At 37.4% G+C, this 27,035-nt stretch overlaps 1 long non-coding RNA gene across 1 annotated transcript in view; it reads right to left on the bottom strand.

The window, feature by feature from the left end:
• The window catches only part of LOC105373288 (uncharacterized), a 42,537-nt gene that overhangs the window by 5,914 nt on the left and 9,588 nt on the right, over positions 1–27,035 (bottom strand). Inside the window, exons 3-4 of the long non-coding RNA XR_938457.3 lie at positions 25,209–25,299; positions 18,486–18,629 (exon numbers count right to left, since the gene is read on the bottom strand). This is a non-coding gene — a long non-coding RNA (uncharacterized LOC105373288). The remainder of the gene's footprint in view (positions 1–18,485; positions 18,630–25,208; positions 25,300–27,035) is intronic.

Raw genomic sequence — 27,035 nt, 5'->3', positions numbered from 1 at the left:
TTTTTTTTAACTTCTTTTTTTATTTTTTTAATTTTTATTATTATATTTAAAGTTCTAGGGTACAAGTGCACAATGTGCAGTTTTGTTACATAGGTATACATGTGCCATGGTGGTTTGCTGCACCCATCAATGCATCATTTACATCAGGTATTTCTCCTAACACTATCCCCCGCTCAGCCCAACACCCCCAAACAGGCCCCACTGTGTGATGTTCCCCTTCCTGTGTCCATGTGTTCTCATTGTTCAACTCCCACTTATGAGTGAGAACATGCAGTGTTTGGTTTTCTGTCTTTGTGATATTTTGCTGAGAATGATGGTTTCCAGTTTCATCCATGTCCCTATAAAGGACATGAACTCATCCTTTTTTATGGCTGCATAGTATTCAATGGTATATATGTGCCACATTTTCTTAATCCAGTCTATCATTGTTGGACATTTGGGTTGGTTCCAAGTCTTTGCTATTGTGAATAGTGCTGCAATAAACATACACGTGTGTGTCTTTATAGTAGCATGGTGTATAATCCTTTGGGTATATACCCAGTAATGGGATCGTTGGGTCAAATGGTATTTCTAGTTCTAGATACCTGAGGAATTGACACACTGTCTTGCACAATGGTTGAACTAATTTACACTCCCACCAGCAGTGTAAAAGTGTTCTTATTTCTCCACATCCTCTCCAGCATCTGTTGTTTCCTGACTTTTTAATTATCTCCATTCTAACCGGCATGATATGGTATCTCATTGTGGTTTTGATTTGCATTTCTCTGATGACCAGTGATGATGAGCATTTTTTCATGTGTCTGTTGGCTACATAAATGTCTTCTGTTGAGAAGTGTCTGTTCATATCCTTCACCCACTTTTTAATGGGGTTGTTTTTTTCTTGTAAATTTCCTTAAGTTCTTTCTAGATTCTGGTTATTAGCACTTTGTCAGATGGGTAAATTTTCTCCCATTCTGTATGTTGCTTGTTCACTCTGATGATATTTGATGATATTTTGCTATGCAGAAGCTCTTTAGTTTAATTAGATCCCATTTGTCAATTTTGGATTTGTTGCCATTGTTTTTGGTGTTTTAATTATGAAGTCTTTGCCCATGCCTATGTTCTGGATGGTATTGCCTAAGTTTTCTTCCAGGGCTTTTATGGTTTTAGGTCTTACATTTAAGTCTTTAATCCATCTTGAGTTAATTTTTGTATAAGTTGTAAGGAACGGATCCCGTTTCAGCTTTCTACATATGGCTAGCCAGTTTTCTCAGCACCATTAATTAAATAGGGAATCTATTCCCCATTGCTTGTTTTTGTCAGGTTTGTAAAGATCAGATGGCTGTAGATGTATGGTGTTATTTCTGAGGGCTCTGTTCTGTTTCATTGGTCTATATATCTGTTTTGGTACCAGTACCATGCTTTTGGTTACTGTAGCCTTGTAATATAGTTTGAAGTCAGGTAGCATGATGCCACCAGCTTTGTTCTTTTTGCTTAGGAGTGTCTTGGCTATGTGGACTCCTTTTTGGTTCCATTTGAACTTTAAAGTAGTTTTTTTCCAATTCAGTGAAGAAAGCCAGTGGTAGCTTGATGAGGATAGCACTGAATCTGTAAATTATGTTGTTCAGCATGGGCATTTTCACTATATGGATTCTTCCTATCCATGAGCATGGAATGTTCTTCCACTTGTTTGTGTCCTCTTTTATTTCATTGAGCAGTGGTTTGTAGTTCTCCTTGAAGAGGTCCTTCACTTCCCTTATAAGTTGAATTCCTAAGTATTTTATTCTCTTTGTAGTAATTGTGAATGGGAGTTCACTCATGATTTGGCTCTCTGTCTGTTTTTGGTGTATAGGAATGCTTGTGATTTTTGCACATTGATTTTATATCCTGAGACTTTGCTAAAGTTGCTTGTCAGCTTAAGATTTTGGGCTGAGACGATAGAGATTTCTAAATGTACAATCATGTCATCTGCAAACAGAGACGGTTTGACTTCCTCTTTTCCTATTGAATACCCTTTATTTCTTCCTCCTGCCTGATTTCCCTGGCCAGAACTTCCAACACTATGTTGAATAGGAGTGGTGAGAGAGGGCATCCTTGTCTTGCGCCAGTTTTCAAAAGGAATGCTCCAGTTTCTGCCATTCAGTATGACATTGGCTGTGGGTTTGTCATAAATAGCTCTTATTATTTTGAGATACGTTCCATCAATACCTAGTATATTGAGAGATTTTAGCATGAAAGTCTGTTGAATTTTGTTGAAGGCCTTTTCTGCATCTATTGAGATAATCATATGGTTTTTGACGTTGGTTTGGTTTATGTGATGGATTACATTTATTGATTTGGGTATGTTGAACCAGCCTTGCATCCCAGGGATGAAGGTGACTTGATCGTGGTGGTTAAGCTTTTTGATGTGCTGCTGGATTAGGTTTGCCAGTATTTTACTGAGGATTTTCACATTGATGTTCCTCAGGGGTATTGACCTAAAATTATGTTTTTTTTTGTTGTGTCTCCACCAAGCTTTGGTATCAGGATGATGCTGGCTTCATAAAATGAGTCAGGGAGGATTCCCTCTTTTTCTATTGACTGGAATAGTTTCAGAAGGCATGTAACCAGCTACTCTTTGTACCTCCAGTAGAATTCAGCTGTGAAACCATCTGGTTCTGGACGTTTTTTGGTTGGTAGGATATTTTATTGCCTCAATTTCAGAACCTGTTATTGATCTATTCAGAGATTAAACTTATTCCTGGTTTAGTCTTGGAAGGGTGTATATGTCCAGGAATTTATCCATTTCTTCTAGATTTTCTAGTTTATTTGCATAGAGGGGTTCATAGTATTCTCTGATGGTAGATTGTATTTCTGTGGGATCAGTGGTGCTATCCCTTTATCATTTTTTATTGTGTCTATTTGATTCTTCTCTCTCTTCTTTGTTAGTCTTGCTAGTGGTCTATCTATTTTCTTGATCTTTTCAAAAAACCAGCTCCTGCATTCATTGATTTTTTCAAGGGTTTTTTGTGTCTCTATCTCCGTCAGTTCTGCTCTGATCTTAGTTACTTCTTGTCTTCTGGTAGCTTTTGAATTTGTTTGCTCTGGCTTCTCTAGTTCTTTTAATGTTGATGTTAGGGTGTTGATTTTAGATCTTTCCTGCTTTCTCTTGTAGGCCTTTAGTGCTATAAATTTCCCTCTACACACTGCTTTAAATGTGTCCCAGAGATTCTGGTACATTGTGTCTTTGTTCTCATTAGTTTCAAAGAACATGTTTATTTCTGCCTTCATTTTGTTATTTATCCAGTAGTCATTCAGGAGTAGGTTGTTCAGTTTCCTTGTAGTTGTGCAGTTTTGAGTGAGTTTCTTAAGCCCGAGTTCTAATTTGATTGCACTGTTGTCTGAGAGGCAGTTTGTTGTGATTTCTCTTCTTCTACATTTGCTGAAGAATGTTTTACTTACAAGTATGTGGTTAATTTTAGAATAAGCACAATGTGGTGCTGAGAACAATGTGTATTCTGTTGATTTGGGGTGGAGAGTTCTGTAGATGTCTATTAGGTCCACTTGGTCCAGAGCTGAGTTCAAGTCCTGGATATCCTTGTTAATTTTCTGTCTCATTGGTCAGTCTAATATTGACAGTGGGACATTAAATTCTCCCATCATCATTATGTGGGAGTCTAAGTCTCTTTGTAGGTCTCAAAGGATTTGCTTTATGAATCTGGGTTCTCCTGTATTGGGTGAATGTATATTTAGGATAGTTAGCTCTTCTTGTTGAATTGATCCCTTTACCATTATGTAATGGCCTTCTTTGTCTCTTTTGATCTTTGTTGGTTTAAAACCTCTTTTATCCAAGACTAGGACTGCAACCCCTGCTTTTTTTTTTTTTTTTTTTTTGCTTTCCACTTGCTTGGTAGACCTTCCTCCATCCCTTTATTTTGAGCCTATGTGTGTCTTTGAACGGGAGATGGGTCTCCCGTTCAAAGTGTTGAATACACTGTGTTGAATATAGCACAGTGATGGGTCTTGACTCTTTATGCAATTTGCCAATCTATGTCTTCTAATTGGGACATTTAGCCCATTTACATTTAAGGTTAGTATTGTTATGCGTGAATTTGATCCTGTCATTATGATGCTAGCTGGTTATTTTGCCCGTTAGTTGATGCAGTTTCTTCATAGCGTCAATGGTCAAATTTCCAAATTTGGCATGTTTTTTGCAGTGGCTGGTACCAGCTATTCCTTTCCATGTTTAGTGCTTCCTTCAGGAGTTCTTTCAAGGCAGGCCTGGTGGTGACAAAATCTCCCAGCATTTGCTTGTCTGTAAAGGATTTTATTTCTCCTTCACTTATGAAGCTTAGTTTAGCTAGATATGAAATTCTGGGTTGAAAATTCTTTTCTTTGAAAATGTTGAATATTGGTCCCCACTCTCTTCTGGCTTGTAGGGTTTCTGCAGAGAGATCTGCTGTTAGTCTGATGGGCTTCCATTTGTGGGTAACCTGACCTTTCTTTCTGGCTGCCCTTAACATTTTTTCCTTCATTCCAAACTTGGTGAATCTGACAATTATGTGTCTTGGGGTTGCTCTTCTCGAGGAGTAATTTTGTGGTGTTCTCTGTATTTCCTGAATTTTAATGTTGACCTGCCTTTCTAAGTTAGATTAGTTCTCCTGGATAATATCCTACAGAGTGTTTTCCAACTTGGGCCTATTCTCCCCGTCACTTTCAGGTACACCAGTCAAATGTAGATTTAGTCTTTTCACATAGTCCCATATTTCTTGGAGGCTTTGTTCATTTCTTTTCACTCTTTTCTCCAATCTTGTCTTCTCTCTTTATTTCATTCATTTGATCTTCTATCACTGATATCCTTTCGTCTGCTTGATCAAATCAGCTATTGAAGCTTGTGTATGCTTCATGAAGTTCTCATACTGTGGTTTTCAGGTCCATCTGGTCATTTAAGCTCTTCTCTACACTGGTTATTCTAGTTAGCCATTAGTCTAACCTTTTCTCAAGGTTTTTAGCTTCCTTGCAATGGGTTAGAACATGCTCTTTTAGCTCGGAGGAGTTTGTTATTACTGACCTTCTGAAGCCTACTTCTGTCAACTCATCAAACTCATTCCCCTTCCGGTTTTGTTCCCTTGCTGGCGAGCAGTTGTGTTCCTTTGGAGGAGAAGAGGTGTTCTGGTTTTTGGAATTTTCAGCCTTTCTGCTCTGGTTTCTCCCCATCTTTGTGGTTTTATCTACCTTTGGTCTTTGATGTTGGTGATCTACAGATGCAGTTTTGATGTGGATGTCCTTTTTGTTGATATTGATGCTATTCCTTTTTGTTTATTAGATTTTCTTCTAACAGGCCCCTCAGCTTCAAGTCTGTTGGAGTTTGCTGGAGGTCCACTCCAGACCCTGTTTGCCTAGGTATCACCAGCAGAGGCTGCAAAACAGCAAATATTGCCACCTGATCCTTCCTCTGGAAGCTTCATCCCAGACAGGTACCTGCCTGTATGAGGTGTCTGTTGACCCCTACTGGGAGATGTCTCCCAGTCAGGCTACACGTGGGTCAGGGACCCACTTAAGGAGGCAGTCTGTCCATTACCAGAGCTCGAACACTGTGCTGGGGGAACCACTGGTCTTTTCAGAGCTGTCAGGCTGGGATGTTTAAGTCTGGAGAAGCTCTCTGCTGCCTTTTGTTCAGATATGCCCTGGCCTCAGAAGTGGAATCTAGAGAGGCAGTAGGCCTTGCTGAGCTGTGGTGGGCTCTGCCCAGTTCAAGCTTCCCTGCCACTTTGTTTACACTGTGAGCATATAACTGCCTACTCAAGCCTCAGCAATGGTGGGCACCCCTCCCTCCGCCAAGCTCCAGCATCCCAGGTTGATCTCAGACTGCTGCACTAGCAGTGAGCAAGGCTCTGTGGGTGTGGGACCCACCAAGCCAGGCACAGGAGGGAACCTCCTGGTCGGCAGGTTGTGAAGACCGTGGGAAAAGTGCAGTATTTGGACTGGAGTGTACAATTCCTCCAGGTATAGACACTCACGGCTTCCCTTGGCTAAGAAAGGAAAATCTCCCAACCCCTTGCGCTTCCTGGGTGAGGCAATGCCCCTCTCTGCTTTGGCTCACCCTCCATGGGCTGCACCCACTGTCCAACCAGTCCCAATGAGATGAAACAGGTACCTCAGTTGGAAATGCAGAAATCACCCATCTTCTGCATCGATCTTGCTGGTAGCTGTAAACCGCAGCTGTTCCTATTTGGCCATCTTGGAAGCGACCCCAAGTCACCTCTTGAATGCTTTGCTGCTTAGAATTTTTTTCCACCAGATACCCTAAATCATCTCTCTCAAGTTCAAAGTTCCACAAATCACTGGGGCAGGGGCAAAATGTCACCAGTCTCTTTGCTAAAACATAACAAGAGTCAATTTTGTTCCAGTTCCCAACAAGTTCCTGAAACAAGAGTCACTTTTGTTCCAGTTCCCAACAAGTTCCTGATCTCCATCTCCATCTGAGACCACCACAGCCTGGACCTTATTGTTCATATCACTATCAGCATTTTTGTCAAAGCCATTCAACAAGCCTCTAGGAAGTTCCAAAATTTCTCATACTTTTCTGTCTTCTTCTGAGCCCTCCAAACTTTTTCAGTCTCTGATTGTCACCTAGTTCCAAAGTCACTTCCACATTTTTGGGTATCTTTTGGCAACACCCCACTCTACTGGTACCAATTTACTGTATTAGTCTGTTTTCATGCTGCTGATAAAGACATACATGAGACTGTGCCATTAAAAAAAAAAAGAGGTTTAGTAGAGTTACACTTCCACATGGCTGGAGAGGCCTCACAATCATGGTGGAAGGCAAGGAGGAGCAAGTCACATCTTACATGTATGGCAGCAGGCAGAAAGAGCTTTTGCAGGGAAACTCCCCTTTTTTAAAACCATCAGATCTCATGAGACTTATTCACTATCATAAAAGCGGCACAAGAAAGATGTGCCCTCATGATTTAGTTACCTCCCACCCAGTCCCTCCCACAACAACTGGGAATTCAAGATGAGATTTGGGTGGGGACACAGCCAAACCATATCAGCATTTTTTTTTTTTTTTTGTAGTATACGGCACGTCTTCATGTATCACATTTTGTACTTCACCCTTAAAGTCCTGCTGGGACTTGAGTCTAGTTACAGATCTAGAAGAAGAGAGATGGTGGAGGTTGGTCCTGAAAAGTATCAGCATTTTCTAAAATGGAAACTTCCTCAGGAGAGGCCAATACAGTTTCTCAAGGAGTCCCAGGTTAATTCAATCAGACAGAAGTAGAAAGGCAGATACCACTCTGGGTAGAAAAGCCGATATCCTTGAGAGTGTGAATGCCAATGTTCCTGAGGGTTTGGAAGGCTATTTACACTGGGGATGAGGAGCCACTTTTGCAAAGGAGGGGCTTCTTGTACTAGGGGTGGCACGACCTCTTCCAGTGGCAAAGAAGACTCATAAGAATTTAGGAGCTCAATGACCCCATATTCATCAGAGTTTTCTCACACTTACAGTATTTCAATTTATAATATCCCATTATTTCCTGATCAATGGTCTCACTTTTGCAGTACACACTTTATAAGGCTTGGAGTTCAACTTGTCTTCTACTTTATCAATTGTCACAGGATGAGATTCTGCATTTGATTTTCAGCAATTTTAGCTCTGCTGCTGTAAGTAGTAAGAATCTCCTTCAGGCACACACAGAAGTTTTTTGATTATTTATGTAATACTTGGGCTGGGAATTTAAATCCCTGAGCTCGTTTTTTTAACTACTTTGTTCAGCAACATTAGGAGTAACAGGCCAACATCATTATATTAATTAATTTTTTAAAAACATGTTTGAAGGTATTCTATAAAGAGTCATCTAGCTTCTGGCTCCTTAAAAGTGACTGATTGTTGAGTATTCAGTACAGATATTTTGTGTATCTCAGTAAATAATTTACTCCATGGACTATTGTTTCTCTCTTTACTCCTGGAAGTAGAGTTATTAGCATCTTTAAATATAATTACATTAGAGACCCAATTCCATAAACACAAAACAAATCCAAAGCCCTTATTCTTAAAATTCTGTTTCTCTAGAGCCATTCTCCACACCAAAATCTGTATTAATCAGAGTTCTTCAGAACTAATAGGATATATATAAGAGAGGAATTGGCTCACATGATTATGAAGGCTGAAAAGTTCTAGAATTTAACATCTGCAAACAGGAGACTCAAGAAAGTCACTATAGTGTAATTTTTATTCAAGTTTGGCAGCCTGAGAACTGGGGTGTGTGGGGAGGTGTTCCTGTATAAAGTCTAGTTCAAAATTATAAAATCAATGTCCCAGCTCAAACAGGCAAGCATCAAGTGAAAGGGACAAATTTACCCTTTTTCTCCCTATTTGTTTTATTCAGGTCCTCAGCATATTGGATAATGCCCATGCACACTGGGGAAAACAATCTACTTTATTGATTTCACCAGTTCAAATTCTAGTCCCATCTAGAAACGCACTCATAGACACACTCAGAAATAATGTTTAATCTGGGCACCCCGTGGTACAGTAAAGTTGATATGTAAAATTAATTATCATACCAGATCAATAGCTGCATACCAGATACCATGGCATGTGTTACTTTATTAAAGCAATGAAACTACATCTGGGACAGCAGGTACAATAGGATTCACCACCTGGTTAAGTTTATAATAATTCACTGCCATTCTCTGAAATCTATGTTTTCTGCACAAGTCAAAAAAAGAAATTGCATGGGGATGTGGTAGCAATCACTATTTCTGTATATATTTTCTGTATCCATTCCAACATTTTAATCTCCCTAAGCCTTTGGTTACCTTCATTAGCAATATAGCAAGACTGTTCTGGTACTTCAACTTCTATTCCTGTAGGTAGCCTTTTGTTTCATGTTTCAGCAAACCAAGCAAACAAACTGTTTGTTAGAACTCTTTCTACCTTCTCAACATTATTATTAAATACAGAATCTCTTCTTAGAGAGCTCCCTTCAATAATTTTAGCCGCATCCTACTTTAAGTTTCTTCTACCTTTATTCCACATGCTTAATATTCACTCTCACACATATTATCCATATTAACAGCTATATAAATTTTAAAAATTATGCAGTTCTTTTGGAGTGCAGCACACGTCTTCATGTGTCACACTTTATACCTCATCCTTTGGTTTATGCTGGGAATTCAGCTTAATTATAGGTCTAGAAGTAAAGATATATATTGTATATAGGTCCTGAGAAGAATTAGCAATATCTTTCAAGCAAATGCCTCGTGGGAGATCATTAGAGTGTCTTCAGGAAAAGCAGGATTAACTTTCTCAAACATGGTGAAAAGTATGATTCTACTGGAAAAGAAAACTCAGCAAAATTCAGGAGTTCAATATTCCCAAATGCTTCTACTCATATGCCTTCATTCTAGTGGATAGCATCCCATTCCTTCCCAATCTATGCCCTCAGTTTAATGGCCAGCACCCTTTGAAGTGAGAATTAAATTTTTATTGTAATTACCACGCACAGGATGAGACTGGGTTTGGCCTTTAGCAGTCTCAGCTGTAAGGCTACTAGAGGTAAGGGTTTCTTTTTCAGGACAGACATAGAAACTTGCAGCTCATTTTTGTAGAGCTTGAGCTGGGAATTCTAATTCTTGAGCTTATTCATTTTCTTTTCTCACATTCTCCAGGATAACTAGGAGCAACCAGCCACTCATTACATTCATTAGTTTGACAAAATGTTCTAAGATATCAACTAAACATTCTTTCAGAAACTTGCTTTTTGTAATAATCTGACTAGGAGTCAATATCAAACTGGTGATATTTTGAATATCTATATTACCACAACGTATCATGGACTATCAGCACTCTCTTTCCTAATAGAAATACAGTCATTAATGTTTTTAAATCAAATCATACTAGAGAACCAATTCCATAACCACATAACCATTTCACAAAACTTACTTTTTAGAAAATGTTTTTCCCCTAGAACCATTCTTGGTACCAAAAGCTGTATCAGTCATATTTCTTCAGAGGAAAAGAATAAATTATGTGTGTGTGCACACACACACACACACACACATATTATATTTACATTACATATACATATATCACATATACATATATTACATTTTACAATATATACACTGTCCATATCTTATTGATATCAAATTGATATACTATATTAATATCAATATAATATTAAAATATAATATACTCAGATATATATTAATATACTGATACACAATATATTTATTATATATTATTTCTATGATATACATGAAGAGAGAAAGAATAATTTTAAAGAATTCACTAACATGATTTTGGAAGCTGGCAAGTCTGAAATTTATAGGATAGGACAATAGACAAAAAACTCAGGTAGGACTTTATGATGTAGACTTGAGGCAAAATCTCTTCTTCTCTGGGAAATCTTTGGTTTTGCTTTTAAGGCCTTTCAACTGAGTGGATAAAACCACCCACATTATTAAAGGTACCTTCTTTTCTTAAAGTGAACAGATTGTAGATGTTAACTACATCTACAAAATACCTTCATAGAAACCCCTAGATTTTTGTTTGATTCAATAACTGAATACTATAGCCTAGCTAAGTTATTAATAACACACACAGACACAGACACACACACGCACACACACAAACTAAAAATCAACCATCCAACAACTTGATTTTTTTTTCATGGCCTGTGTGTATAGCTTTTAAGGAGTGGAGGAAAGAAACACTTAATTTTTTTCATGGTCTTCATTTACAGCTTTTGTAGCAGCAGAGGGAAAGCTTCACCTCTGCTTTCTGCAGGTTTCTCTGAAATAAACTGAGAATTGGCAGATTAATAAGAGAAAAGGAATACAAATTTATTAATGTGCATAAACATGGGAACCGTATATACTACAAGACTCAAAGAAGAGCCAGATGGTTGAGGTTTAATTACCTTCCTCATAGGGAAAAGGGAAGTGGGATGATGTAGGCAATTTTAGAATGGTAGTAAATAATTTTTAGTAAAAATGAATAGAACCTGCAGACAGATGCTAAATCTTTCTTTCAGAAAACTGAAAAAGGCTGGCAAATTATGAGAAGGTGAGGGGAATAACTGCATTGTGAAAAAACGTTTTCTTATTCTGTACATAAAGTTTTCCAGGAGCTGTCCTCTTGGAGCTGCCCTCAGAAAAACAGAAGAAAACTTTATCTGAGCATAGTGGTGACTTTTAATCTCTCCTCTTTTCTAGTGGTTAATTTTTCCTGGTTATTTGATGAGTTTCCCAGGGAGGACATTGATATGGTTTGGCTGTGTCCCCACCCAAATATCACTTTGAATTGTAATAATCCCCATGTGTCAAGGGTGGGGCTTGGTGGAGATAATTGAATCATGAAGACAGTTTTTCCCATACTTTTCTTGTGGTAGTGAATAAGTCTCATGAGAACTGATGGTTTTATGAGTGGGAGTTCCCCTGCACAAATTCTCTTGCCTGCCACCATGTAAGATGTGACATTGCTCCTCCTTCACCTTCCACCATGACTGTGAAGCCTCTTCAGCCATGTGGAACTGTGAACCAATTAAAATTTTTTGCTTTATAAATTACCCAGACTCAAGTATGTCTTTATTAGCAGCATGATAACAGACTAATACAGTAAATTGGTAACAGTAGAGTAGGGTGGTGCTGTAAAGAGACCCGAAAATGTGGAAGATACTTTGAAACTGGGTAACAGGCAGAGTTTGGAACAGTTTGGAGGGCTCAGAAAAAGATAAAAAATGTAGGAAAGTTTGGAACTTCTGAGAGACTTAGAGTGCTCAGAAGACAGAGAGATGTGGGAAAGTTTGACACTTTCTAGAGACTTCTTGAATGGCTTTGACCAAAATGCTGATAGTGGTATAGACAATAAAGTTCAGGTTGAGGTGGCCTCAGATGAAGATGAGGAACTTGTTGGGAACTGGAATAAAGGTTACTCTTGCTATGTTTGAGCAAAGAGACAGACGACATTTTGCCCCAGCCCTAGTGATTTGTGGAACTTTGAACTTGGGAGAGATAATTTAGGGTATTTGGTAGCGGAAATTTCTAAGCAGCAAAGCACTAAAGAGGAAGTAGAGCATAAAAGTTTTTTTTTTTTTTTTTTAATGCAGCCTGACAATTCGATAGAAAGGGAAAACCCATTTTCTGGGGAGAAATTAAAGCCAGCTGCCGAAATTTGCATAAGTTACAAGGAGCCAAATGCTAATCACCAAGATAATGGGGAAAATGTCGCCAGGGCATGTCAGAGACCTTTGCAGCATCCCCTCCCATCACAGGCCCAGAGGCCTAGGAGGAAACAACGGTTTCCTGGGCCAGGTTCAGGGCCCACCTGGGACTTGGTGCCATGCATCCCAGGTGCTCCTGCCTTGACTAAAAGGGGCCAAGGTACAGCTCCAGCCATAGCTTTAGAGGGTGCAAACCCCAAGCCTTGGCAGCTTCCATGTCATGTTGAGCCTGTGAGTGCACAGAAGTAAATAATTGAGGTTCAGAAACCTCCACCTAGATTTCAGAGGATGTATGAAAATGCCTGGATGTCCAGGCAGAAGTTTGCTGCAGGGGTGGAGGCTTCATGGGGAATCTCTCCTAGGGCAGTGCAGAAAAAAATGTGGGGTGGGAGTCCCCACACAGAGTCCACTAACAGCTTGCACCATCCACCTGGAAAAGCCACAGACACTTAATGCCAGCCCATGAAAGTAGCCAGGAGGGGTGCTGTACCCAAAAAGCCACAGGGTCAGAGCTGCACAAGACTGTGGGAGCCCACCTTTTGCATCAGCATGACCTGGATGTGAGACATGGAGTCAAAAGAGATTATTTCAGAGCTTTAATACTTGACCACCCTCTTGGATTTCGGACTTGCATGAGGCCTGTAGCCCTTTCATTTTGGCCAATTTCTCCCATTTGGAACAAGTGTATTTACTCAATGCATGTACCCCCATTGTATCTAGGAAGTAACTAACTTGTTTTTGATTTTACAGGCTCATAGGCAGAAGGGACTTCCCTTGTCTCTGATGAGACTTTGGACTGTGAACTTTGGTGTTAATGGTTAAATGAGTTAAGACTTTGGGGGACTGTTGGGAAGGCATGATTGGTTTTGAAATGTGAGGACACGAGATCTGGGAGGGGCCACAAGCAGAATGATAGAGTTTGGCTGTGTCCCCACACAAATCTTACCTTGAATTATAATAATACCCATGTGTCAAGGAAGGGGCCAGCTGGAGATAATTGGATCATGGTGGGGTGTGTTTTCCCCATATTATTCTCATGATAGTGAATAAGTTTTATGAGAACTGATAGTTTTATAAATGGGAATTCTGCTGCACAAACTCTCTTGCTTGCCACCATATAAGATGACACTTTGCTTCTCCTTTGCCTTCCACCATGATTATGAGGCCTCACAAGCCATGTGGAACTGTAAGTCAATTACACTCTTTTCTTTGTAAATTACCCAGTCTCAGGTATGTCTTTATTAGCAGCATGAGAACTGCCTGATTCAGATGTTTTATGACAGTTGCATTCATTTTAGAAAGATATTTCTTTAAGTCAGATAAGAAAATTCCAGAGAGAGTCTCTCTGTAAATATGGAAAGGACAAAATGAGACAAAATTTAAAAGTTCTTGGTTTTGAGGCAGCTTCTAAGGTCTTATATATTTTTTAGTTCAAAATTTTCAGCATGCCAAAGCAATATACTTTGGGGTATTATTTTCTGTGCTCCAACACTTTTTTTTTGAGACAAGGTCTCACTCTCTCACCCAGACTGGAGTTCAGTGACATGAACACAGCTCACTTCAGCCTAAATATCTTAGGTTCAAGCAATACTCCCACACAAGCCTACTGAGTAGCTGAAACCACAGGCACTTGCCACCATGACTGGCTAAATTTTGTAGAGATGAAGTCTCACTGTGTTACCCAGGCTTATCTCAAACTCCTAAGCTCAAGTGCCTTGGCCTCCCAAATTGCTGGGACTACAGCTGTGAGCCAATGTGCCCTTCACCTCCCAAATTGCCAGGATTACACTGTGAGCCATTGCCTTGTAATACTTTTTAAAATTACTTTTGTTTTCAAGTTATTTCAATTTAATCTACCACAAGACTTGTTCTCTCAATTTTTTTGCAAGATATTTTGGCATTCTTCATCAAATATTCAATGAAGAAACTAGAAAATTAACAAGGACCAATAAGGCTTTTAAGGATATATATCTAATTACCCTATTATGTGGAAGATTCTGATACCACTCAAAAAGAATGGAATATAATCAACAGACCTAGGTTTAAGTATGAGTACCAGCACTCATTCCTTGTGTAAATTGGGCACAATGGTTAAACTCTCTAAGCATAAGTTTTCTTATGTACAATTGCGACAGCCATGGTCAACAGTTATACTGAATTTGAATAGCATTGACCCATGTTTTCATATAATGGAGAAAATATTATTTCCCTCCATATTTCCAGGTACTCTCTTATTTCCTATGTTTCTCCTAGTCATTTCTGCCCCTGCATTTCTGCTTCTATTGAATTTTCTCAGTTCATAGATCATCTCACTTTTCTTTTTTTAAATTTTTTCTTTTTAAATTTTTGTGATTACATAGTAAAAGTGTACACTCTTTTGTGGTATGTGAGATGTTTTGATACAGGCATGCATTGTGAAATATGCATATCATGGAGAATGAAGTATCCATCCCCCCAAGCATTTATCTTTTGAGTTATAAAAAATCCAGTTTCATTCTTTAAGTTATTTAAAAATATATAATTAAGTTATTGTTGACTATGTTCACCCTATTTTGCTATCAAATAGTAGGCCATATTCATTCTTTCTATTTTTTTCCCATTGACCATCCCTACCTCCCTCCCAAACCCCACTACCCTTCCCAGCCTCTGGTAACCATCCTACTAATCTCTATGTCCATGAGTTACATTGATTTTATTTTTAGATCCCACAAATAAGTGAGAACATGCAATGTTTGCTTCTCTGAGAGAGGCTTGTTTCACTTAACATAATGATCTCCAGTTCCATCCATGTTGTAGCAAATGACTAGATCTTATTCTTTATTATGGCTAAAAAGTACTCCATTTTGTATATTTACCACGTTTTCTTTATCCATTCATCTGTTGATGGACACTCAGGTTGCTTCAAAATCTTAGCTATTGTAAACAGTACTGCAACAAATAGAGGACTGCAGATATCTTTTTGATATACTTATTTCCTTTCTTTGGCATACATATCCAGTGGTCGGATTGCTGGATCAAATGGTGGCTCAATTTCTAGTTTTTTGAAGAACCTCTAAACAGTTCTCCTTAGTAGTCATATTAATATACATTCCTACCCAACAGTTTATGAGGGTTTACTTTTTCTCCACATCATTGTCAGCATTTATTGTTGCCTGCCTTTTGGATATAAGCCATTTAACTGGGGTGAGATGATATCTTATTTTAGTTTTGATCTGCATTTTTCTATATCACATAAGCACTAAGAGTGCAAGGCAGGCTAGAATCAGTTTGTGTTTAGTAAATTGCTTGGCATTGGAGAATTTTGTGAATATGATCCTTGTGACCACATAGTATGAAGCTAAGATACATGGAGAAAGATGCAAATTTATTAGATATTACTGGTCATTCCTAAACACAATGTCCTATTTCAGACCTCCTTTGTGCCTGCTCCTTGATTTATACAATTTTTTTACCTGCCTTGTTTATGCAGAAAATTTCTACCCATCCTTTAAGAGCCAGATCTCCTATCACCACTTTGTGAACGCTTCCTCAAATCCCAGCCAGGCAGCTCAGTCCTCTAGAGTCCTCACTGTCATTTTTATGCAATTCTTGTTTAGAGTAGATCACATTTGATAATCATTTTTTTTTAATTTGTGCTTTTCTACTAAACAGTAAACTCCTTATGGGCAGAGACCATGTCTTACTCATCTTTGTACCTTCAGTGCCTATTATTATTTTTTGTACATAGTCTATAACGAATAAATTACTTATGTGCTTCAGTTTACTCATCTGTAAAACTGGAAATAAAAATAATGCCTTCCTGTTGGGGTTACTGTGATGAATAAATAAAATAATATATATGTAAATTGCTTAGAACAGTGCCTAGAATATAATAAGTGACCAATAAATCTTAATCATTATGATTATTATCACCATCGCTATGATTGTTAAATTGATGTCAAATAAGCCAGATACAGAAGGACAAATACTACATGATTCCATTTATATGAGGAAAGTAAAATAGTAAAATTCACAGAAGCGGAGAGCAGAATAGTGATTGCCAGGAACTGGGGGAGAGGGGGAAACAAGGAAATATTAACCAAAAGTTACAAAGAGTTATGCAAGATGAAGAAATTTTAGAGATCTCAGGTACAACAGAATGCTTATAGTTAACAACACAGCATTGTATACTTAAGCATTTGCTAAGAGAGTAGATATTATGTAAATATTATTATCACAAAAATAATTGTAATAAATAAATAAAGAGGATAGGAGTAAAATAAGCTAATTAATATTAAATTATATTGGAAAACTAGCATTAGAATCCAGGTTGCAAAGCCTGGTGTACATTCTATTCCTCCAGCCCTGGTTACTATGTCCTGTAGTACTTCAGCTGATTCCAGTGTTTTTAGGCAAAACATCTTGTTCAGAATCTTTTTAATTCTATTTTCTCCATTTTTCTAGCCAAACTGTCTCATTTCTTTAATATTTTCTTTCATATTAAGAAAAAAGGTTATCAATAAAGTATAATGAGGTAAAGATTAATTCTTTACTCATCATTATGGTTTCATGATTGTTTACAGTGTGTAAAATGACATAATCCAGATAAAAAGTACTATGGTTCTAGAAGGTCCTTTAGGATGGAATATCAAATAGAAAAATCACAGAATATTTACAAATTCTAGATTCTCCCAGTCTTCCAGTCCAAAGTCTTTGAATGTTTTTGAATATGAGATATAGTAAAGACATATATTTTAAACCATGACTCACTACAAAATGTACACATGCAGAGCCACCATACAATATACACATGTATACATAGCTTAAAAAAATAAAAGTTTCCCAAACTTACATATATTCTTAAACATGCTGTGCCATTTTTGACTCTATTCTATTTAAAAACACTGATCATCTCTCCTTAAAGTGACTATATGACCCTTGATTAGATGGCTGTCCATTATTCAAAAACACTACTCTTATTCAACTCCTCCAAGTTGTTATATTGATAATAAAGCTTAGTATCAAGAATTACTCAATGTCACACAACTCATAATGAAATCATAGCAAAATAATGGGATAGTAAATTCTGCTCATTTCCTAAGATCTGGGAACCCTTGTATAATACCTTGAATAAGGACCTAAATGTTGCTTCAAAGCCTAGCACAGTTGGCACTCAATACATATTTGTTGAATTAATTTGTTGAATCAATGAATAGTATGTGGGTGCCTCTACTTACAGAGTGACGCATACTCTTTAGTCTATGAAGAGAATTAAAAAAGGAGCTCCTAGAAATTTATTAAAAGAAGCAATTATGATAAGTGTGATGGAATTCAATGTGTTGGAGCCCAACTTCAATACAAGATGAATCCAGTGTGCAAAATTTGAAAGTCATCACAAAAAGCTTTATTAAGTCTTGGGAAATAGGAACCAGCTATTTAGAGAGTTAATGGAATATTTAAATGTTACATATATTTGAAGGAATTTAGAGTGCCCCAGAGGAATTGCCTCAAACACATCTCACTTTAGGTGACTCAATCACTTATGTGAACAGTTTTCTGTTTTCAGGTCTTTATGACTATTCATTTTTAATACCGCATTAGCTGCTTCTGTCTTATAAATGCTTTCCTTGTTTTGCTGCTGTTTTTTTACCACAGTGAATTATCACAGAGTTCAGGGACTGGGACCAGGTTACAAAATTTTTTATACTTAAAATATAACAATAGTGCCTGACAGGTAAGAATATTTTCCCCATTCATTTTCTTGAATTTTTATTTTATATACTTCATTTGTTTATTTTGCTGATATCAAAAATGTTTGCAACATTTCTACTTAGAAACTTAGTTGGTTAAAATAAGTAATCGCAAGATATGATCATTTTATTATTGTTTTCTTAAACATGTATCACTTTAACATAGATTAATGGAGATAAAATAAATATCTCTTAGCACTGTTAGATTATTGATTTTTTCAAAGCAATACGGCATTTGACAAACTCCCAAAAATATGAATTTATTTTAAAAATAATAAATGAAAATAATCCACTGAGAATGTTGTGCCTGAGAAAATAGCAACTTAGCCCAAATTTCCGGATGCTTCTTTATGCCAACTGCACCCAAGGAGAGCTGTTCTAATCTCCTAGTGCCTGTATGGTCTTTAACAACTTGCAATTTACCTTCTGCAGGACCAAGGAGACAGCTCAAATACTGTGAGTGCCCAAAGTGTGAAAGTAGAAAACGGGGATCATCTGCCCCCAAACACATACCCTCACTGGGGAACCTAAAGGTCCAAATTATGGGAGAAGGATTTGATCTTACCTAGAGCTGAGACAATTTAGAGAGCTCGGCAAAATACGGGAGTAGAGGAAGCAGCGGCAAGAGCCCTGTGGTCTCTCTGGGTCACCAGGGAAGCCACTTCTGACTTTGTCTCACAGGTGTCCTTGGGGAGAGCTGCCAGAGGAACTGGGAAAACACCACAAGGGAAAGAAACATCCAGATGAACATCGTAACAATTCCAACCAAACACAAAGGTTCTTGAACAAAATTCATGGGAGGGGTTGAATCCAGAGTACAGATGCAGGCAGGCAGGGAGGCATGAAACCTGAAACCCCTGCTTGCTTTCTCAGCCAGGAGGCTGGTAGCCTGGGGCAAGTTCTCAGCCCTGCTTGCCCACTGCCTGGAAATAAACTCAGGGCTGTTGGTGGTCAGGGGCATGGTGGGAGTCAGACCGGCCTTTTGGGTTGCATGGGAGCTGGCTGAGGCTTGTAACTGCCAGATTTTTATTACTTCCCTTGTGACCTGCATGACACAGCAGAGGCAGCCATAATCCTCCTGGGAACATAACTCCATTAACCTGGGAACCACACCACCATCCCGCACAGCAGCTGCAGCAAGCCCTGCCCAAGGAGAATCTGATCTCAGACATGTCTGATCCTACCCCCACATGATGGTCTTTCTCTACCCATCCTGGTAGCTGAAGACAAATGTCATATTCTCAGCCAGGTGTGGTAGCTCATGCCTGTAATCCCAGTACTTTGGGAGGTTGAGGCAGACAGATTACGAGGTCAGGAGATCGAGACCATCCTGGCTAACATGGTGAAAGCCCATCTCTACTAAAAACACAAAAAATTAACTGGGTGTGGTGGTGGGCACCTATAGTCCCAGCTACTTAGGAGGCTGAGGCAGGAGAATGGTGTGAACCCAGGAGGCACAGCTGGCAGTGAACCGAAATCACGCAACTGCACTCCAGCCTGGGTGACAGAGTGAGACTCTGTCTCAAAAAAAAAAAAAAAAAAAAGTCATATTATCTTGGGAGTTCTAGGGCCCTGCCCACTCCCTGATCCTCCCTGTACTACCCACAGCTGATGCTTTCTTAAAAACACCACCTCCTAGCAGGAGGCCAACCAGCATAAAACTAGTTCAATAAACAACAACAACAAAACTAAGGACCCTCACAGAGTCCATTTCACTGCCCTGCCATCTCCACTGAAGCAGGTGCAGCTATCCATGGCTGAGAGACTAGAAGACGGTTTACATCACAGGACTCCATGCAGACAACCCCCCCAGTACTAGCCCAAAACCCAGTAGCCCCACTGGGTGGCTATATCCAAAAGAGAAATAACAATCACTGCAGTTTGGGTCTCAGAAAGCCACATCCCTAGGAAAAAGGGGAGAGTACTACATCAAGGGAGCACCCTGTGGGACAAAATATTCTGAACAACAGCCATTGAGCCCCAGATCTTCCCTCTGACATAGCCTACCCAAAACATAAAAAACCAAAAGAACAATTATGGTAATATGACAAAACAACGTTCTTTAACACCTTCAAAAAATCATACTACCTCACCAGCAATGGATCCAAACCAAGAAGAAATTACTGATATGTCAGAAAAGGAATTCAGAAGGTCCATTATTAAGTTAATAAAGGAGGCACCAGAGAAAAGTAAAGTCTAATTTAATGAAATTAAAAAAATGATACAAGATATGAGGGGAGAAATTTTCAGTAAAATAGATAACATAAATAGAAAACCATCACAGCTTCTGGAAACCAAGGACACAGCTATAGAAATGCAAAAGGCACTGGAAAGTCTCTGCAGTAGAATTGAACAAGAAGAAGACATAACTTCAGTGCTTGAAGACAAGGTTTTTGAAATAATCCAACAAAGACAAAAAAAAAAATTTAAACTGAACAAAGCCACCAAGAAGTTAGAGATTATGTTAAATGACCAAACCTAAGAATAATTGGCATTCCTGAGGAAGAAGAGAAATCTACAAGTTTGGAAAACACATTTTGGGAAATAATTGAAGAATACTGTCCCGGCCTTGCTGGAGACTCAGACATCCAAATGCAAGAAGCTCAAAGAACACCTGGAAAATTCATTACAAAAAAAGATAATCACCTAGGCACATAGTCATCAGGTTATCTAAAGTCAAGACAAAGGAAATAATATTAACAGCTGCGAGGCAAAAGCATGAGATAAGCAGATTAATAGCAGATTTCTCAGCAGAAACCCTACAAGCAAGAAAGAATTGGGGCTCTATCCTCAGCCTCTTTAAACAAAACAATTATCACCCAAGAATTTTGTATCCAGGGAAAGTAAGCTTCATAAATGAAAGAAAGATACAGTCATTTTGAGACAAACAAATGCTGAGAGAGTATGCCACTTTCAAGCCAGCACTATAAGAACTGCTAAAAGGAGCACTAAGTCTTGAAACAAATCCTCAAAGTACATCCAAAAATACATCAAAAAAGAACCTCTTAAAAGCATAAATCTCACAGGACCTATAAAACAACACAACAAATAATATCAAAAACCAAGGTATTCAGGCAACAAATAGCATGATGAATAGAATAGTACCTCACATCTCAATACTAATGTTGAATGTAAACTGTCTAATGCTCCACTTAAAAGATATGTAATGGCAGAATGGATAAGAATTCACCAACCAAGTATCTGCTGCCTTCAAGAGACTCATCTAACACATAAGGACACAAATAAACTGAAGATAAAAGGGCAAAAAAAGACATTCCATGCAAACAAACACCAAAAGTGAGCAGGAGTAGCTATTCTTATATCAGACAAAACAAAGTTTAAAGCAACAGCAGTTAAACAAGACAAAAAGGGCCATTATATAATGATAAAAGCTGCTGTCCAACAGGAAAGTATCACAATCCTAAATATATATGCACCTAACACTGGAGCTCCCAAATTTATAAAACAATTACTACTAGACCTAAGACATGAGATAGACAGCAATACAATTATAGTGGGGGATTTCAATACTCCAATGACAGCACTAGACAGGTCATTAAGACAGAAAGTCAACCAAGAAAAAATGGATTTAAATTTTACCCTAGAACAAATGGACTTAACAGATATTTACAGAATATTCTACCAAACAAACACAGAATATACATTTTATTCATCAGTGCATGGAGCATTCTCCAAGATGGGCCATATGATAGGCCAAAAACAAATCTCAATAAATTTAAGAAAATTCAAATTATATCAAGTACTCTCTCCTACTACAGTGAACTAAAATTGGAAATCAACCCCAAAAGGAACCTTCAAAACCATGTGGATACATGGAAATTAAATAATCTGCTGTGGAATGATCATGGGGTCAACAATGAAATCAAGATGGAAATTTAAAAATTATTTGAACTGAATGATAATAATGACACAACTTATCAAAACCTCTGAGATACAGCAAAGGCAGGGCCAAGGGGTAAGTTCACAGCCTTAAATGCCTACATCAAAAGATCTGAAAGAGCACAAATAGACAATCTAAGGTCACACCTCAAGGAACTTGAGTAACAAGAACAAACCAAACCCAAACCCAGCAGAAGAAAAGAAATAATCAAGATCAGAGCAGAACTAAATAAAACTGAAAGAAACAAACAACAACAACAAAAAAAAAACAAGACAAAAGATAAATGAAACAAAAAGCTGGTTCTTTGAAAAGATAAATAAAATTGATAGACCATGAGCAACAATAACCAGGAAGAGAGAAGATCCAAATAAGTTCAATTAGAAATGAAACAGGAGATATTGCAACCAAGAAAACAAAAATACAAAAGATCATTCAAGGCTACTATCAACACCTTAATGCACATAAACTAGAAAACCTTGAGAAGATGAATAAATTCCTGGAAATACACAACTCTCCTAGCTTAAACCAGGAAAAATTAGATACCTCGAACAGACCAATAACAAGCAGTAAGATTGAAGTGATAACAAAAAATTGCCAACAACAACAACAAAAAGTCCAGGGCCAGACAGATTCATAGCTGAATTCTATCAGATATTCAAAGAAGGATTGGTACAAATCTATTTACACTGTTCCACAAGTGTAATCATTCTATGAAACCAGCATCACAAATACCAAAACCGGAAAGGACATAACAACAACAATGAAAAAACTACAGACCAATATTCCTGATGAATATAGATGCAAAAATCCTTAACAAAATATTAGCTAACAGAATCCAACAGCATATCAAAAAGATAATCCACCATGATCAAATGGGTATCATACCAGGAAAGCAGGAGCGGTTTAACATACACAAGTCAAAAAACGTGATACACCATATACACAGAATTAAAGACAATAATCTTTAATAATATCTTTAATAATTATGAGATGATAAGGATCATCTCAATAGATGCAGAAAAAGCATTGACAATTTGACAAATCCAGCATCCCCTTATGATGAAAAACCTCAGCAAAATCGGCATAGAAGGTACATACTTTAATGTAATAAATGTCATGTATGACAAACGCACAGCTAACATAATACTGAACGGGGAAAAGCAGAAAACTTTCCCTCTGAGAACTGGAACAAGACAGGGATGCCGACTCTCACCATTTCTATTCTACATAGAACTGGAAGTCCTAGTCAAAACAACCAGATAAGAGAAAGAAAGAAAAGACATCCAAATTGGTAAAGAGGAAGTCAAACACTTGCTGTTTGCTGATGATCTGACTGTGTTCCTAGAAAACCCTAAAGACTCATCTAAAAAGCTCCTAGAACTGATAAATGAATTCAACGAAGTTACAGGATACAAAATTTATGTATACACATCATTCGTTCTGCTATACACTAGCAGCAACCAAGCTGAGAATCAAATCAAGAATTCAACCACCTTTACAATAGCTGCAAAAAAATGAAATAAAATACTTAGGAGTGCACCTAACCAAGGAGGTGAAATAACTCTACAAGAAAAATTCCAAAACCCTGCTGAAAAACATCATAGATGACACAAACAAATGGAAACATGTCTCATGTTCATGGATGGGTAGTATGAATATTGTGAAAATGACAACACTGCCAAAAGCAATCTACAAATTCAATGCAATTCCTATCAAAATACCATCATCATTCTTGACAGAACTAGAAAAAACAATTATAAAATTCATCTGGAACCAAAAAAGAGCCCACATAGCCAAAGCAAGACTAAGCAAAAAGAACAAATCTGGAGACATCACATTACCTGATGTGAAACTATACTATAAGGCCATAGTCACCAAAACAGCATGGTACTGGTATAAAAATAGGCACATAGACTAATGTAACAGAGAACTTAGAAATAAAGCCAAATACTTACAGGCAACTGGTCTTTGACACAGCAAACAAAAACATAAAGTGGAGAAAGGACACTGTATTCAACACATTGTGCTGGGATAATTGGCAAGCCACATGCAGAAGAATGAAACTGGATCCTCATCACTCACCTTATTCAAAAATCATCTCAAGATACCTCAAGGACTTAAATCTAAGACCTGAAACCACAAAAATTTTAGAAGATAACATCCGAAATACCCTTCTAGACATTGGTTTAGGCAAAGACTTCATGACCAAAATCCCAAAAGCAAATGCAAAAAATAAAATAAATAAAATAAATAAATAGCTGGAACTTAATTAAACTAAATTTTCTTCACAGCAAAAGAAACAGTCAACAGAGTAAACAGACAACCCACAGAGTGGGAGAAAATCATCACAATCTATACATCTGACAAAAGAGTTATATCCAGAATCTACAAGGAACTCAAATAAATTAGCAAGAAAAACATAAACAATCCCATCAAAAAAATGGACTAAGGACGTGAATAGTCAAGTCTCAAAGGAAGATATACGCCAACAAACATATGAAAAAATGCTCAACATCACTAATGATCAGGGAAATGCAAATCAAAACCACAATGTGATACCACTTTACTCTGAAAGAATAGCCATCATCAAAAAATAAAAAAATAATAATAGATGTTGGCAGAGAAGCAGTGAAAAGGAAACATTTTTAGACTGCTGGTGGGAATGTAAACTAATACAACTGCCATGGAAAACAGTGTGGAGAGTCCTTAAAGAACTAAAAGTAGAGCTACCATTTGATCCAGCAATTCCATTACTGGGTATCTACCCAGAGGAAAAGAAGTAATTATACAAAAAAGATACTTGCACATGCATGTTCATAGCAGCACAATTTGCAATTGCAAAAATATGGAACCAGCTCATATGCCCATCAATCCATAAGTGGATAAAGAAATTGTGACATATATATATATATATATATATATATATATATATACAATAGAATATTATTTAGCCATAAAAAGGAAAAAAATAGTGGCATTCACGGAAACCTGGATGGGATAGGAGACCCATTCTAAGTGATGAAACTCAGGAATGGAAAACCAATCATTGTATGTTCTCACTCATAAGTGGGAGCTAAGCTATTAGGATGGAAAGGCATTAGAATGATACAATAGACTCTGGAGACTTAGGGGCAATAGCAGGGGTGGTGGTAAGGAATAAAAGACTACAAATTGGGTACAGTGAATACTGCTCGGGTGATGGGTGCACCAAAATCTCACAAATCACCACTAAAGAACCCACTCATGTAACCAAACCCCACTTGTTCCCCAAAAACCTATGACAATAAAAATAAAAGAAAATATTATAAAAAGTAATTTTTTAGTGAAACTGAATCTTGACCTCTGTAATTGAAGGATGGAAAATGAAGTAAAAATAATATTACTAACCAAATGAGTTTCCCTCTGTGATTCTTCAGGCCTCTGTATTTTTCCGTTAGTTTTTCTTTGCTTATAACTGTCCAGAGCTAGATTCATCTGGCTACATATTTGCAAGAGAAGAGATTAAATTGTTAGTTTCCCCAAAAATATTAATATATTTAAAAACAAATAGATTTTATACTATAATTTTGAATTATCAATGTATTATATATAAATTATTTGAGAGGGAAATTTAGAAAACTTATATTTTATATAGTTTTCAGTTTATACACACACACACACTCACACACAGGTTTTGTGTTAAAAATTGAGACAAAATAATCTTTGCATCATTTATTTTAGAATTTAATAATATGACTGTGCCTGACTGGAGATATTTGTTTCTTTAATATGTTGGAAGCAAAATTTACTTTGGCCAGGATTGATTAAACAGTAGTTGCACAGTTGTCATGTTCATCTCTAAAATTCATCACTTTCTTCAATACAGAAGCTTTCCCTATATGTCAAAGAGAATCATTCTTGATCTTAAAATCTCAATTTTAAGATTGAGAAGACAGATGCTGTTGCTATTTGTATCTTTATTGCTTCATGAATTTATATATTTAGAGTCTGGAAAAGTCTGGACATATGTTATAGTTTGAGCAAAGTAATTGTGTAAATCAAAAAAGGTTTTGCAAATTAAGTAACAGGAAGACAAAGGAAGATTAAAAATTGCAAAATTGAGAGAGAAAGAAAGTGAGACTATAAAGGAAGGAAAAACATAGACATACAGAATTAACAGAAATATAGATTAAAAAGAGGGTGGGGGAGATTAAAGGAAGTGAAAAAGAGAAGGAAGGAAGAAGGGAAGGAAAAAGGAAGGGAGGGAGAGAAAGAGAGAATGAAAAAAGAAAAAAGGAAACAGGGAAAGAACTAGAAGGGAGGAAGAATACATTAATAGATAACTTTATTTTTCATTTCATCAAACTATGCATCCAGTTCTACTATTGTATTGCCAAATAAAATCATTATTATTATTACTAAAAGTTTGTTGAATTTATATTTATCTAAAATGAATTATATTTTAAGAGTCTTATTATTGTGTGATCTTTGGTGCCACTTACAATAAACTTCTTTATAAATTAGTCTATTGTTGCAAGAAGTCAGGGACCCCAAATGGAGGGACTGGCTGAAGCTGTGGCAGAGGAACATAAATTGTGAAAGTTTCATTTTAATACGGGCATTTATCAGTACCCAAATAATACTTTTATAATTTCTTATGCCTGTCTTTACTTTAATCTCTAAACATAAATTGTGAAGGTTTCATGGACATTTATCAGTTCCCAAATAATACTTTTATAATTTCTTATGCCTGTCTTTACTTTAGTCTCTTAATCCTGTTATCTTCATAAGCTGAGTATGTATGTCACCTCAGGACCACTGTGATAATTGTGTTAACTGTACAAATTGATGGTAAAACATGTGTGTTTGAACAACATGAAATCAGTGCACCTCAAAAAAGAACAGAATAACAGCGATTTTTAGGGAACAAGGGAAGACAACCATAAGGTCTGACTGCCTGTGGGGTTGGGCAAAAAGAGCCATATTTTTCTTCTTGCAGACAGCCTATAAACAGACGTGCAAGTAGGAGAGATATCACTAAATTCTTTTCCTAGCAGGGAATATTAATATTAATACCCTGGGAAAGGAATGCATTCCTGTGGGGAGGTCTATAAACAGCTGCTCTGGGAGTGTCTGTCTTATGCGGTTGAGATAAGGACTGAAATATGCCCTGGTCTCCTGCAGTACCCTCAGGCTTATTAGGGTGGGGAAAAACTCTGCCCTGTTAAATTTGTG

This window comes from Homo sapiens, chromosome X, assembly GCF_000001405.40.
Source record: "Homo sapiens chromosome X, GRCh38.p14 Primary Assembly".
Lineage (NCBI taxonomy): Eukaryota > Metazoa > Chordata > Mammalia > Primates > Hominidae > Homo > Homo sapiens.
This window is presented reverse-complemented; position numbering and strand designations above follow the sequence as displayed.